The 16,950-nt window shown below is 35.0% G+C and overlaps 1 protein-coding gene across 20 annotated transcripts in view; it reads left to right on the forward strand.

The window, feature by feature from the left end:
* The window catches only part of SPAG16 (sperm associated antigen 16), a 1,126,038-nt gene that overhangs the window by 190,894 nt on the left and 918,194 nt on the right, over positions 1-16,950 (forward strand). For all 20 annotated transcript variants that reach the window (NR_047659.2, NR_047660.2, XM_011511814.2 and 17 more), the window contains one exon: positions 14,606-14,733. Coding sequence is in view for 18 of the 20 variants with exons in the window: in XM_011511814.2 (XP_011510116.1) it covers positions 14,606-14,733 (128 nt within the window). In the remaining 2 variants the exon portion in view is untranslated. The remainder of the gene's footprint in view (positions 1-14,605; positions 14,734-16,950) is intronic.

Here is a 16,950-nt window from a genome sequence, read left to right on the forward strand (position 1 = left end):
ATGGGGGCAAAATAATATAAGAAGTTTTTTCTTCAAAGTCTGAGGGGTCACAGGAGTCCCAGTGATTCAGGATACACTTGAGGGGAGTGCAGGCTGCAGGTGGTTTGTTACCCACCTGAAAAGAGAGAGGGGAGAAAAGGCATGCCTTAGTCTCTCCCTTGCTAATCTTGAATTTGAAGCATCCCTCAAATCTCAGTAACTGGTACTGGCACCATGGATGGGCTCTTGCTGCTTATGCCATGGTTGTGAGTATGACCTTCCCCCATGAAGCAGAAAGGACTAGTTGGCAGGGATAGTCATGCTTACCTGCACTCTGTCCTAGCCTTCTGTTGTTGACTTCCTCTGGTTCCTCAGATCTAGTTTTCTTTTTAGGGCTCCAAACTGAAGCATGAAAAATACACTGGAGTAATGGTAAGGTGAAGCTATGGAAATAGATCCTTCTCAAACAAAGGAAAGAAAAGGAACCCTGAGAACTGGGGACCTGGCCTAATAAGATGTCTTCCAAAAGGAAAAAATCAGTCCTTCACATAGAAAAGCTCCTTGTATTTTCAGGATTATGTTGATTCCTGACATGGTGGGAAAAGAAACAACTTAAATGCAGAGGAGGGAAGGTCCCTGGGGGAAGTGGTCTCTTGCACTATGCTAATGGGTTTCTTCAACAGGGGAAAGAAAACTCTCTTAATTTTTACATCCCCCTGTTTCTAAGAATAGACAGAAACAACATGGTTCAGGTTTACACTCCCGATAACTAAGCCAAGTATTCATTCTACCCACTAATATTATCTTTTTGGCTTGCAAAAACACTTGTAACATTGTATATAAAGAAGGGATAGAAGCCACAAGAGTCTTGAAAGAAAGAAAATGTGATAGGAAAGACTGGAAGTTTTGGTGCAACACCTGAACAGGCTGTCGGGAATTGGAGCCAATCCAGGAGTCTTCCAGTAATGTCGAGGCATGGCCTTGGCCAGATACCTTCAATTGCCCCAGGACCTTATTCTGATCCCACATGACAGCTAGAATTCTGGAAGAGAAGCTGGATTGGAATAAAGTGAACATTTCCAACACCCGAGGGTGAAGGGGGATTGACAAAATCCTCCCCTGCAAGCCTGTTCTCTGAATCTTATAGACCAGCAGCTGCACTATCCACTCTTAACTGGCTGACAAAGGCCCAGTGTTCTATCTGTTTTTGTAAAAAATCTGAGGACAAGAAGCCTCGGAATGAAAGTAAAGAGTCATAGGTCCACTCTTACTCAAACTTTAATTGATCCTGGATGAACCCCCAGAAATGTTGTGGCATTTTTGCTCGCATAGTTTGGTGAGTGGGAAGGAGTGGCACCCAGTGGCTTCTTCACTCCCATAGCTCAGTGAGCAGGAGGGAGCGGGGCCCAGTGGCATTTTCTCTCTCTTAGCTCAGGTAGTGGAAGGGGATGTTACAGCTCTTTTACTCTCGCTGCCCACAGCTTGGTGAGCAGGAGTGTTACAGCTCTTTCATTCAAGCAGTTCAGAGATTTCTACATTCTTGTCCTGTGACCAAAAGGAATAAGGTATGTGGACACTGGAGAGTGAGTAAGGCAGAGTAGAATTTTATTGAGCAACAGAAAGAAAGCTCTCAGAAGCAAGAGGGGACCCAAAAGCTTGTTGCCATCTGTGAAGCTGAGTCGGGTTTTTATGGGCTTAGAATGGGGGAATGAATGCTGATTGGTCCATGGGTGGGCTCGAAAAAGGCATCATTTGATGGGTTAAAAGGCATCATTCAGAAGAAATCAACTGAGAGAGAGTAGATAAGATGGGGATGGCAGTTTTCACTCTGGTCCTAGACTCTATCTGGAACTGGAAGCTCAGTTTTCAGGCTTTAGGCTATCCTTGGCTTGAAGGTCAAGTTTCACCAGGGACCCATCCCTGTCCACCTATGAATTTGTCTGTCTCCTGTATCTATCAATGGGGCACTGCCTAATAAAGCTGTGAGAAGAGGGCCACCATCCTCCAGACCTCAGAATGGTAGATCCACTGACAGCTTGCACCATGCACCTGAAAAAGCCACAGACACTTAACACCAAGCTATGGAAGCAGCTGGGAGGGGAGTTATACCCTGCAAAGCCAGAGGAATGGAGCTGCCCAAGGCCATGGGAGCCCATCTCATGCATCAGCATGACCTGGATGTGAGACATGGAGACAAAGGAGATGATTTTGGAACTTTAAGGTTTAATGACTGCCCTGTTGGAGATCAGACTTGCATGGGGCCTGTAGCCCCTTTGTTTTCACGATTTCTCCCATTTGGAATGGGAGCATTTATTCAATGTCTGTACTCCCATTGTACCTAGGAAATAACTAACTTGCTTTTGATTTTACAGGATCATAGGTGGAAGGGACTTGCCTTGTCTCAGATGAGACTTTGGACTTGGACTCTTGAGTTAATGCTGAAATGAATTAAGACTTTGGGGGACTGTGGGAAGGTATCATTGGTTTTGAAATATAAGAACATGAGATTTGGGAGGGGCCAGGGGCAGAATGATATGGTTAGTTTCTGTGGCCCCACCAAAATCTCATCTTGAATTGTAATCCCCATAATTCCCACATTTTGAGGGTAAAAGAGGTGGAGATAATTGACTCATAGGAGTGGTTTCCCCCATGCTGTGCTTGTGATAGTGAGTGGGTCTCACAAGATCTGATGGTTTTAGAAGTGTCTGGCATTTCCCCTTCTTGCACTCACTCTGTCCTGCTGCCCTGTGAAGAAGGTGCCTATTTCTCCTTTTCTGTCTGCCATGATAGTAAGTTTTCTGAGGTCTCCCCAGCGATCTGGAGCTGAGTCAATTAAAGCTCTTTTCTTTATAAATTGCCCAGTCTTGGGTATTTCTTCATAGCAGTGTGAGAATGGACTAATACAGGGTTGTATATCAGAAGTCATATAAAGATAGAAGAATATTAAACAGGTACATTTAAATTTTGTCATGAGGTTATGACAAGTTACTCTGACTTCACTAAGCAAACCACCTGAGCTGTTTAGATATCTTAAGTCTAGCTAGCAAAATAAAACACTGTCTATATCAATGTAGCAGTATATGTGAAAGGGATTTGTAAATTCTGTAATGTCATAAATAGGAGTACTATTTTTGTACTAATAGAAAATTTTTAAGTGTGGCTTGTTCTTGTGGCCTGTTAACATGAATGTGATGGTAGCTACTATTACAAAATTACCACCTCTTCTCTACTCTCGAGGATGGTGATTCACTAGCAACAGTTTCTCTTTAGGAACTTTGATATCAGGGAATGCCTTTCATAGTTCCGTATCCCAGGCATTTAGCCTGCTATTTGCACATTAATACATTAATACATTAATTCATTTTTTTGAATGAATTAATAAAAACTATGTGACTGTTCTGGAAGATTCTGCCATATTCCTACTCTGTGAGTGGTGGGAGGGGGAAGCTAAAATCAAGGAGGCTTCACTTAATTATTCTTATCCATTCATCTTCTGAATACTCTTAAGAATCTTCAATTTAACCAATAGTCTTAAATAATCTTACTAAGGGTTTTTAATACATTTAATGAGTTATAAATCAAGGATAAGGATAGAAAATTGGCAGTCCATAGATGCATTTTGTTTGGTCCTCCCAATGTTGACATTTCTCAGGGTTAAATAATTATAATAAAAATTTACTGTCAGCATTAAAAATTTATTCTAGTTCACCTAAACATGTATTCTTTTCTCTTTTTCTTCTCCAGGCACACTGGCTTCCTTTTTTTTTTTTTTTTTTTTTTTTGTAAAATGCCACATTTACTCTTAAATTCTGGACTTTGAACTGGCTTTTTCCTATGCCAGGAATGTTCTTCTTCTAAATATCATCATGGTCAACTCTATCACTGTCTTAGTCTTTAATCGAATGTCACCTTCTCCATGAGGCCTCGCCAGATTGCCGCATGTATAATTTCATACATCATGCCCCAAAAAATTCTCCCCATGTACTTCCAGTCTCTCTTACACTGCTTTTTCTTTCTACTGCATTTTTAATCTAACATTTTATGTGATATACTTGTATATGTTTATTATTTATTTTCTGTCTCCTCAATATATTATAAGCTACATGAGGATTGAGATCTTTTTGTTTGTGTGTGTGTGTGTGTTTACTAGTGTATTTCAGGCAATTGGAATAATGCTTGATAAATTAGGACTATCAATAAATATTTGTTGAATGATTCAACGAAAACCCCAAATATATGGCTCCTTTTGAAAAAAAAGCACTATCTGTTAACATTGGGCTTACATTCCTACATCCTCCACCATTTGTTGGAACTGAGAGGCAACAGGTGCTTTAGGCAAGACATGCATGCATTCCTCGGTCCTCTACAGCCATCACCACCACACTTGTCTTCCCAGTGCTGAGCCTTATCTGCATTGGCATTTATCTTCATATTTATTCTTTTTTTTACAATAAAGAGGAAAACTATGTCTAGTACTCATATCTATATCAAAAGGGGGTAACATGGGATAAAGAAAGATCAAGAAAGTTATATGTTTATTGAAACAAGGGGGACAGCATGTTTCCATGTTGAGGTGATCTACGTGTTAAACATGTAGAATATATCTCTTCATATGTCCACCTAGTTCATTCATTTGAATTATTTTTCTGATGCCTGGCTTTTGAATTTCTGACCTCTGCTCTAAATAGACATAACTGCAACTTTACTTAAAATTCAAAGATAAGAAGTATGGAAGCATGCATTATCAGAAAGAAGATAAAATTATGGAAGCTTACAATAAGATCAAGTATCTTGAGTAGCTAATAGTAGAAGTTAGTTATTTTACTGTGGAATTTTATTACATTTTAAGTTGCCAACCCACACAAAGATAATCCTTGTGGACATCTATAGAGAATTAAATTTTCAGTTAGCTAAGATGCTATAACTTTGGGCATAAACTTGCATTTATAGCTGGGCATGTAAAGCAAACAGATGCCAATTGGTTGGGACAGTACTATTAGGCATATCCCCTTAGCCAATAATGCAAATAAGTTAGCCTTGCTACAGCAAAGTTTTGCCTTGCCTTTGAGGAATGGAAGCAGATTAAAGCAGGGAAGAGATGTCAATATCATCCATACTTTCTATCCACAAAACTAATCAGAAAATCTTTGACATTTACTCAGAGTAATACCATACCTGAAATAGGTGAATCTATGAATTCTTAATTTAGTAAATCTGTTAGAAACAGGTCACCATTTTCAAAAGCTGTTACATTAATTCACTTTGGTGTAAAGCATTGTCTAGCACTATTTCAGCACCCAGTATTGACAGAAGTGATCACTTGTGTCATCATATGGCACACACTTTTCCGAACCTCCATATGCTTTTGGCTACCTGTCTTTCTATTTTGTACACTTTCCCTTTGAATATTTTTAGGTTTGCAACACTTTTATGTGATTATCATAGTGTTAAACAGAAGTTATAATTTACTGTCCAGGATTATTTTACATATAACATGTAACTGACCCTTTCAGATGTTTTTTATTATTACATAACAAGCTTATCAAAAAGAAAAATTGAATAACTTAGAAATAATATTTATTAAATTGTAATTATTAACCTGTTAGCATTAAAGTCAGGATAAGATAGCTGAGCTGTATTGCAATTTCAATTACAAAAATGCGTGCTTATTCTTCATTTTGGAAGCCCGCCAACTAAAGAATATATTAGGCAGTGAACGCAACATGACAAGCCATTCAATTCAGCAATTTCTAGTTGGTCAGATACATCTTCAGGCAAATTTAACCTTTATAAGGCTTATTCTTGGTCTCTGTTTTGTAGAGATTACAGAATTGTTTATTTTAAATAAAAATTATGTTGAGAGAGGTATAATCTAAAAGTCATTGAAATTTCCACTTCTATCAATTTTAGGTTACATGCTGCTAGGTAAGAGGAATTAATAAAAGTTTAGAAAGTCTTCATTCATTTTCAAAGTAAACTGCTAGTAGAGAAACTGCCTTACTTTCTAAACCTTAATAGAATACGTTTTTATTGATAAATGTCCAATTCATTGACTTTTGTCATCTTTCAATTAATTGCTTACATTTTTTGTTTTTAATAAGGTTTTAAAAGTTGTTATAACCATTTATCACAACTGTGAACTGACTTGACTTGAAACCATTAGCAAAATAAACACCTGTATTTTAGTAGCTACCCATAAGCAATAACTACATACTATGTAAGTGCCCCCTGACCTCCTGAATCCTGCTTCAATTTTGTTTAGCCTCTGTTTAAGCTCCTGGGGATTATGGGGGCAACCAGTATGGCTTCCAAAGAAACAGAGGGATAAGTAACCCAGGTGTGTCCTCTTTGTGCCAGTAGTAGGAACTATGCCAGCTGGCTGCCCTCTGGCACTGTGCATAGTGAACAGAATATTTCTTGCATTCCCCAAAGGGAAATTTTAGTAAAAGGAACACAAATGAATTGGATCATTATTCCCATTTCTCAGAAAAGGTCTGTGCAAGAGAAGGGCACAGACTTCATTCTTTGCTTTATGACACAAGTTTATTAAGGTTGCCATTGCAGTGATTTTTGTAAATGAAGGAAGCATCAGAACATCACTGAAATACATACTATAATTGGGAATTACAGACAGTAATAGGATATCCTGACTTGGTAATGAGAAGAGAAAATGAGACTTCCCTAAACTTTTTCTCAGTATGTATGATCTTATCTAAAACTTGAAATTTTGGTGTCTGCACAAAAACCCAACTCAAATATCTCAGTGGATTAAAACAGCAAAATATATCTCTCTTGTACTACATTGTGCAAGGGAGCTTCGCTCATCATAATCACTGAGGACCACAGGCTGGATGGGAGTTCCTGCCCCATACTTTCATATTATCAAATGAAGGGCACAAAGGGGTGGCCAAACACATGCTGGCACTTCAGGCTTGCCCCCATGTTGCTTTTGCTCACATTTCATTCATCAGGTAAATCACATGGCCACACCTAGGTACAAGAGGGCACAGAACTGACATTTGTAAATAACTCTAAAACTACTAAACATCCCGATGCTGAATTTGTCTCAGTTTAAGGAAATGTCAGCAGCAAAAATTAGTGCCATGTGCTGGGTTTTGACAGTAGTAAGATTATAAGCATTTTCTTATTTAGTAGGAAGGAGGAGGTTTATAAAATCAAATGGTATAATGATTCTTCTAATTTTTTATTTAGAATTTTTATTTTATTTATTTATTTAAAAATGTTCATTTTTATTAACTAATAAACTGAGATTTAGGTTTAGGTATAATTATGTTCTTCTTAGGTAATTATAAACCATCAGTGGAACATGCAATTTGAAATATCTGATTACTCCCTGACACAGAGTCTGGTAATAGATGAGAAAAAGGCTTTGTGAATCACGGTTCTGATTAGAGTGTAGAATTATGTATCTAGGAACCAGATTGTTAATAAGGTGGCAAAGCCCATTTATGCTAGAGGAAAAAGAATATTAAATAGATAAGCCATTAAGTTAATTTGCTTATATTCTTTTAAATATGGTATTTATAGATTACATACATATTTAATTCCATGATTTTCTGTGTTAAAAGTAACATTAATTCCTTATAGAAAAATTTGAATATGCAGAAATGAATGAATACAAAATATTATAAAGTAAAAAGCATATGAAGTTAGTTGCTATTAATATTTGGACACACTTTATTTTAGTTGCACACATATATGTGTAAATATACATATATCATTTATATTAAGTGGACACTTTCCTATGTCCGTATTCTTCATGAATATTATTATTAATAACTAAATAATGTTTCATCATCTGGATGCATGGCATTCTATGGTTCAATCAAATTAAACACCCTTTATTTGAAATTTAGGTGTTTCTAGTCCTTCACTATAATAAATAACGATGCATAGAAAACTTTATATGTAGATCTTAGCAAATTGGTCTGAATATTTTCTCAGAGTACGTTTTTAGAAATGGACTTAATTATGGAAGGTGTTTGGTCATTATTTAACATAATTGATACATATTGCCAAATTTCTTTCTAGAAAGTTTGCATTATTACCAGCAGTGTATGAGAGCACCTGTACAAATTTACATGGTATATATATTGAACCTGTTATATTAATGCTTACAGATAGGCTTTATAAATCTTTTAACTGTTTGCTAAATTTCGAAAGATGGGTTGTTGAGCAGATGGATTCTCAAACTTAAGCAAGCCTCAGAATCACCTAGAAAGCTCACTGAAAACAGATTGTTGGGCCCCATTCACAGAGACTCTGATTTAGTAAGTTTGGGAAGGGGTTTGAGAATTTGCTTTGCAAGTAAGTCCCCAGATAATGTTGATGCCCTTGTCAGAGGCTTGCTTTTGGGAGAACTGTTGAAATTGACTAACGGGAGTTTGTTTTAAAGTAATAGTCATTATTCTTCAACATAGTAAAAATAGGCACTTACTTAACTTTAGAAGCTAAATATTTTCTAAGCATATCAATTTTTGTGGGTTAGCCTTTAATTGTATTCTAAAAGTGTTTCTTAAAATAATTCCTTCTATGCAAAATACTGTGCATACTAAGAAAACATAAATCTAACCATTTCCTATGTTTTTAAATCAAGCAGATCTTTTATCTCTGTTCGTTAGTTTATGACACAAATAAGAAGTTTAGTCAAGAAATATAATGTTAAAATAATGATGCTGTGAAGTTTCTAAGTGAATGTTTATGGTTGTACATCTTTTTTTTCATTTTATGGCTTCAGCCTTATCTTATATGAGTCAAAGTTAAAAAAGTTTCAGGGATAAATTTAAAATACAATAAAACTATTTTGTTTTATATAAACATCTAGAATAGAAACTTTAAAGACTAATTAGATACTTGAGGAGTACTAAATTAAAAATATTTAAGTACATTTGGGAAACATCATTTTGCAAATATCATCCTTCTCCCTACAGTCTAAAGCCCAAGAAATGAAGACAAACATAAAGGTCAAGTAATTGAATAGATATATGAGTAAGAAAGACTTTTCCTGACCCATTCGTATTTTCATACTTAGATTGTGAATGTCAATTAGCTCAATCAAGCCTTGCTGATAATGTCAGCTGTCAGTCACTCCTAGGTAGTGATGTGTGAAGTTTGTCAGCGGGTAATGGGCCATTTGAGTGATGAATGAAATAATGAGGGCACAGAAGCCTAAGCAAAACGTCTCCATTTTTGGTAAATTCCTCTCCACATGGGAAATTAAGACAAGGAAAGAAAAGCCATATAAAATCTCTTTTAATACGGTGTTTATTTTAAAAATATATATCTTAAAATATCTTTTAACTTTTTATTTTTAAAAATTAATTTAAATGGTCAGTGATTAATTATCATTTCCCAATAGTATTGATCAGTGTAAGCAACATTAGGTACTGCAAGAGATAAGCTTGCTCCCAGATTCACGTTGATATTTTGACTTGAATTGAATATTTAAATCGAACTTCTTCAGAAGTTTATCAGCAGACTTTCTGAGTCCATGGACTATCTATACTAATAAGACCTTGCTTTATATCTCTGAATAAAGTGTAGTTTCTTTCTTTAGGCTTAACACATTTCTTGTTAGTGTTCTAGTAGGTATTTTTATCTGATTGCTGTTAGAGTTAGAGTTAGTGGAATATTTTTCTTTTCTTTTTTTTTTTTGAGACAGCGTCTCATTCTGTCCATTCAGGCTGGAGTGCAGTGGCACAATCCTGGCTCACTGCAACCTTCGCCTCCTGGGCTCAAGCGATCCTCCTGCCTCAGCCCCCCAAGTAGCTGGGAGTACAGGTGGGAGCCACCATGCCTGGCTAATTTTTGTATTTTTTGTAGAGATGGGTTTCACTACATTGCCCAGGCTGGTCTCGAACTCCTGAGCTCAAGCGATCCACCTGCTTTGGCCTACCAAAATGTTAGGATTACAGGCATAAGCCACTGCACCCAGACAATATTTTTCTTTTATATCTTCTGTTAATTCATTGCATACTAGCGAAACTTACTAATTTTATAATTTGTCAGATGTAATCAGCCATCATAATATGGTCCCTTTAGTTTCTTTTTCCTTTTGGCTTATCTATCTAAACATCTATCAGTGTAATCATATCTGTAATTAATGATCATTTTATCTCCTCTTTTCCAATAGTTTTATTGCTTCTTTATTTGCTTATTATCTTTTGCATATTTCTACTCTAGCTTTTTCCAGTGATGCATTTTTTTTTTTCATTTATGCTGTGTCCTTCACAGGACTGTGAATCCTTGGAGTGGAAGCAATGTATTCTACTTATATTTGTGACCTAGTAATTAACATAGTGCCTGAAATAGAGTAGATACTCAAATGTTGACAGAATGCCTGATTGAATAATTTTTCACTTCCACTTAAAAATTGTTTGGGGCAATTCCTGTGAATGTTAGTTCAATGAACAGCAAATAACAAGATAGGGAAGCAGACCTCTGTTGAGTGGCACAGATCTAGGGTCTGGGGGAAACCTGGGTACTCAAGGGACTCATGGGGAAAGAGGCCTAATAGATAGCTTGGCTTCCCGTGGGATGCCTAACTGATGTATTACTCAAGTTAAGAAAGAGGTACCCATTGGGTCTTTGAAATTGAAAATATTTTATTATTTTTAATTGTTTTCAGGGTACATGTGAAAACTCATATAATTTGTAAAGTTCACATCAGTATAATTGAGGTACCCATCACCTTAAATGTTTGTCTTTATGTTATAAATGTTTGAATTATTCTCTTCTAGCTATTTTGAAATGTACAATAGATTATTGTAAACTAGAGTCACCCTACTGATCTACAGAACACTAGGTCTTATTTCTTCTATGAAACTATGTATTTGTACCCATTATTCAACCTCTCCATCCTTCCTTCTCCACTGATCTTTTCAGCCTTCAGTAACCACCAATCAATTCTCTGTCTTCTTAGATCCACTTTTTTAGCTTCCACATATGAGTGAGAACATGCAGTATTTTTATTTCTGTGCTTGGCGTATTTCACTTAATATAATGAAGAGATGGCTGCATTCTCATGTTTATTGCAGCACTATTCATAATAGCTGAAATATGGAATCAACCTAAGTGCCCATGAAGGGGTGAGTGAAAAAAGAAAATGTGGTATATATACAATGGAATATTATTCGGCCATAAAAAAGAATGAAATCCTGTCATTTGCAGCAACATGGATGGAACTGAAAGTTATTATGTTAAGTGAAACAGGCCAAGCACAGGTTTTCCATTTTTTAAAATGTAAGACTATATTTAATTCCAACTGGCCCATAAAGCAATAACTTCTTTTATTATTGGTACTGAGACATATATAGATAGCCAGCTATTAACTGGTTATGAAACTGGGATTCAGTAAGATTATGTCAAAATCAAGTCTGCTTCAATCAATATCCCAGGAGAATATTAAACTTATAATTTGATTAATATAGAATTATTTCATAATAAATAAGTGGAGTATGAAACAATTCATGATGAATTTGCTATCCAGCTGAAATTAACATGCCACTAGTTGCAGAAATAATAAAAATAGCAATATAAATAGATAATGTTTATTAAGAATTTAATGAACATGTTAGGTGACTAACGTGATGAATGCTTTGCAGAGATTATCTCATCTTCATGCAGCGTTTAAGACAGGTATGATTGGGGTTGCATTTTACAGAGAGAAATATATATATATATTTTGAAAGCTTGTTAAATAGCTTGCCTAAGTTCACACTTATATGTGGTGGAGCTGAGTTGCTAAGGAAAGCCATTATTTTAACCCTGACTTTTATTTCACATAGAAAGCTTTAAAATAAACATGAGTGCCAGAGCCTTACTCTCAAATTATTATTTAATTTATTTGGGGTGTGACTCAGTGATACTGGTATTTTTTTAAAAAGCTGCCTAGTGAGTTCAATGTGCACTTTGAGTTAAGACCAGTGAACTATTAAAGCACACTGCTGAGAGCTTAGCTTTGCCTTCCAATTGTATCTTGTCAATACAAAAAAAGGTTATGTTTTTTTTGCTTGGAAGAATAATTTTAAGATTTATTTTACCTCTTCTATCCTGCACACATTGTCCTTATTTATGTATCTCACATTTACCTCACTGATCCTGCCTACCCATGTATTGGCCATTGTCTCCTGAAATATTTCAGCACATAGGCTGGGTGATATAAGAAATCTAATGTTTACCTCTGCAAGTGAATCTATGCTTAGATTGGATTGTTTTTACTAGGGTTTTGCCGCTCTCGATGTAAATCTTTTTTTAAATAGTTGTTCAGTTATCATTATATTTTACTATTTTATTAGCTCTACTAAGTAGGCAGCAGGACCTAGTTGATTAGGTCGTATTAAATACCTCTTTCTATGATTATTGGTTTAACAATGCTTATAAAAATTGCTGTGTTTATGGTTTCAGATATTTTCATGAAGTTCAAACAACTATATAAGACTGGATTTGGATCCATCTTGCTATATTTTCTAACATAGTAATTTACCCTTCCCCTATTTCCAACCCAAGCATCATCATTAAAATAAAATACCAGCAAAACAATAGAAAAATAGGCAATCAGCATAAATATGCAATTCAGAAAAAATGAAGTAAAGCAAATAAATAACAAATATAAAAATGTTTAACTTAATTATATATGAATTGGCAATAATTTTTTCCATAGGCTTTTTATTTTACAGATATAAAATAGTATATATGTTCATTATTTATATTGACCTAGGTGTTACTTCTTTTAGAATGTAAGCTCCATAAGGGAGAGAATTTTGTCTATTTTGTTTAGTGATATATTAAAAGAACTGAAACTGGTGCCTGTCATAAAATTGACACTCAATAATAAATATTATTCAAAGGAAATAACTATTGAAAGAATGGATTTTTTTAAGTGCATGTGTGTATGCACGTGTGTGTATACGCCATTAACAAAGATATGGTAAATTGCACACAGTACTACATGACTGGCAGCAGTATAATTGGTACAGCTTTTCTAAAAAGCAGTCTGTGAAAAGGTATCATGTTTTTCTCAAATATTTATTCTATTTGAATTATTTACACTTCTAGTACTATGCTTTAAGGAAATACTTAGTGAAGTGCAGATTTATAGACCAAAAACTCTGTTCATAACATTGATAACCATAAGAGAGACAAAAATCACTGAATAAGTAAAATGTGGCATTCATCATTCCTTCAAAACAGACTAAATGATGTGAAAATGCAGCAATGATAAATGAAAAACGAGAGAAGACAATAGAGCGTGCTTCCAATTTTGTAAAAATTGAGAGAGAAAGATGGAAAAAAATTAAGTAATTAAACCACAGTGTTAATAGTATTTATATCTGGGTGGTGAGACTAAGCGAGCTTTTAAGTTTTTGCAGAATTATGAAATGCAGAAAATTTCTATACGAATATGTACTACTTTGTTAATTAGAAATATATTATTTCACGCCAGAGGCGGTGCTCACGTCTGTAATCCCACCACTTTGGGAGGCCAAGGCGGGAGGATCACCTGAGGTAGGGAGTTTGAGACCAGCCTGGCCAATATGGTGAAAACCGTCTACTAAAAATACAAAAAATTACCCGGGCGTGGTGGCACGCGCCTGTAGTCCCAGCTACGCAGGAGGCTGAGGCACGGGAATCGCCTGAATCCGGAAGGCGGAGGTTGCAGTGAGCCAAGATCCCGCCACTGCAATCCATCCTGGGCAACAAAGCGAGACTCCATCTCAAAAACGAAAAAAAAAAAAAAAAGATTTTTCATGCCTAAAATAATGTTTGAGATAAATAATTTTTGAATAAGTAAATGGGTGCAAAAATTCATGATATGAGCCTTCTCTCAGAGCAATTTTAAAGAATTAGCTGTAAGGGGATTCATAACTTCTTTTTTTGAGTACAGTTAAGCAATTACTCTATCCTTCATTATGTGTTGAGTGCTTATTTGTAGCATGTCTTTTTTCCACTGAGGAAGGACTACTTTCTCATGGACTGAAAATGCTCTTTGATCTGTAGCTATGGTTTGCTTGGTGGAGCGGGCGGTGACCAAGAAATGACAGATGTGGATTCTAATATGTGTGATTTGACAGGATTAATAGAAATGGTTTACTTTCAGTAAGTGTTTTTAAATTAGTACTGTGTCCTTAGATTTAAAAAGAAAATCATAATCAATCAATTAGCAAATGTTAACTTTGTTACCCAATGAAAGTGTTTTTAGTCGGCCATTTATAGGGGACAAAAGGGGCATAAGAATTGTAGACTTTCGACTGCTGACACTACGGTTGGGCCTGGAAAGCTTATTTAAAAAAAGACAATTAACCAATAATATATGACAATGCTATATTGTGCTTCATTGGAATTCAAATAGGGAGTATTTTCAAGTAATTTTTAACATGTAACATGAGGCTTAGAATTGAAATTGGTTATATAAATTGATATTTGCCTTATTTAAAATTTTATCTTTTTAAATATTTTCTCAAAACTAAAATTGGAAATGAAGGACTTCATGTAAATTCTGGGCAAATATAATGTTTATGTTGTAATTTAATATTAAATCAGAGTATCAACCTGTGCAGTGATTTTGATATTTAACACAGAGCTCTTGTTTAATTTTTTTCTCTAGGATTCAGAATTTCCCATAGATATGCAACCAAATCCAAACCTGAATGTTTCTAAAGAAAGTCTTTCTCCAGCAAAATTTGACTACAAGCTGAAAAACATTTTTAGACTCCATGAACTTCCAGTGAGCTGGTAGGATTTTTGATGTTTTATTAATACTTTTGAGATTTTATTTTCATGTCAAAATTTTAATGCTCTTACAGCCATTCATGGTTGAAATGGTTTGCTTTTAGCCTTTCAAAATTGCTACTCATAGCATGAAAGAATCTGCTTATAGTAGCTGTAAGAATCTTAAAAGTAATTGGTTTAAGCACTTGGTGGCAGTACAGACTAAGTGCACTATTGTGTATTTTATTGTAGAGGTTGGAGTAAAAATGCACAAATCATTTTTAGAGAAGTTTCTAGGATTACTTTAAAGATAGGATCTCAGCAACTATACATTTCATTTGTTTATTTTACTCACCAATTTTACCAATGTACTTTTTCCCTGTTAATAAGTTCTTTTTACTTGTTTGTTATGAGGACTGTAATTTTGTGAACTATAATTACATAGGTTTAAAGATGAGACTTAGTATTACTCAACATTTATTGAAATAAATTGTTTTATGAATCTGCGTATTTATATTCATACACATTTATTTTAAATCTTATAAAATGGAGAGTATTTTTATTCAAAATTCAAAAAATCTGTAGAAAATATGCATATATAAACCTTATAATTCCATGGTACATTTACATTTCATTAAGTGGCCAGCTTTTGTTGATAATCATGGATACATCATTTTAATTATGGTTTAGTTTATATAAGTAACATTATTTTCTTGCATTTGGTCATAGAGTCCCAAATTTATGTAATTGTTCTTCAAGAAATCTAAGACTTATACAAAAATATATGGCATTTGTTTTGTAATTGCTCCTATTATACTTAAGGAGGACTAATGACTCAGAAGAGACATTAACCACTCTTTAACACATATATTTTACCTATAGTGAGTATTTTTTTTTCATTTGCAAAGCTTCCTCTGCTCTTGATGACCATATGGCATGTGCAATCTACTTCCTAAACCCCATTTGTTTGATTATTTCCTCATAGCAAGAATATTGTCTATGGTATATGTCGTGAGAACATAGCACATATGAATACTTCTGTCATAACCAAAAGCAGTAGGTGAATGAATTGAAAAGGTCTGTTAGTAAAGGGAACCATAAAAATGATACATTTATACCTTAGTGTTCTATTTCAATGTAAAACAAGTGCCTGTACATTCATATGCTAGTCTTTTGATGTAAGGTCGTGACTTTTTCTTATATGTCTATCGTTTGGAATTCTACACAATATTTCTTACCTAAGCCATGCCAATAATGCATCTTCTACAATTTCAATTTGTCATTTCTTTTATCTAAAATAAGAACTTCAGACAACTTCAGATGATCTCCCCACCTTTTTGTAACATTAATTTTCATTGACAGTAATTCTGTTTATCCTTCTCATATTTCATCACCATAACTAATGTTTATACTACAATAACAAACACAACTGGCTTATAAACAGGTTTAGGACCAAACTCTTGGGACTCTTTACAATCATGAACCTTGGCTGATGGGAGTGGCCAATGCTGGTCTACTTGTGTGATTAGAGAGCTCTGAGCAGTTGGGGTTCAGTGAGTGCAGCTTGTGTGTTTTGTGGAGATAATGGAACGTGTTAGTCAATACAGCAATTAAGTGGAGGTTAAGGGAAAAGCTTCTATTAAATGAAAATGTGGAGAAGAAACAGAGGGAAACATTTAGCTCTCAGTCAAAGGCAAAATATGGATTTCAGCTTAATTTATTTCCAGCCTTTGGAAAGACAGCTGTCCTGATTACTACTACTGCAACTCAAGGAATAATGGTTTTGTAACAATCTTCACTAGTTAGCCTATTAGGAGGGAAGGCTGTCACATTATTAGTTTATTAGTAGAAAAATAAATCGGTAAAGGAAAAATAATCACTAGTCTCTTAGAGTAACATACCGCAGTGGAAGATTAAGTTGTGACTTTGGGACAACTTACTTACATGGGACACTTTTTGCCTGTCTACTTCATTTCCAATTGGTCTCATTTTCTGCTTCCTTATACTACTATTTCTTTTTTTGCTGTGTGTGTTTGTCAGTCTCCCAAACACATGGCAAAAGTAGTAGTTTATTCTGCGACTTCTTTCTCTGTACTCTCATTCTATACTACCAGTCCTTAACTAGACATAATATAAAACTCAATTTAAAATTGTTAGTGTTTCTCAAATAGTTTCATAATCTGTGTTCTTAATTTTAAAACCAGTGGCCGGGTGTGGTGGCTCACGCCTGTAATCCCAGCA

The sequence above is a fragment of the Homo sapiens genome, chromosome 2 (assembly GCF_000001405.40).
Source record: "Homo sapiens chromosome 2, GRCh38.p14 Primary Assembly".
Taxonomy (NCBI): Eukaryota; Metazoa; Chordata; class Mammalia; order Primates; family Hominidae; genus Homo; species Homo sapiens.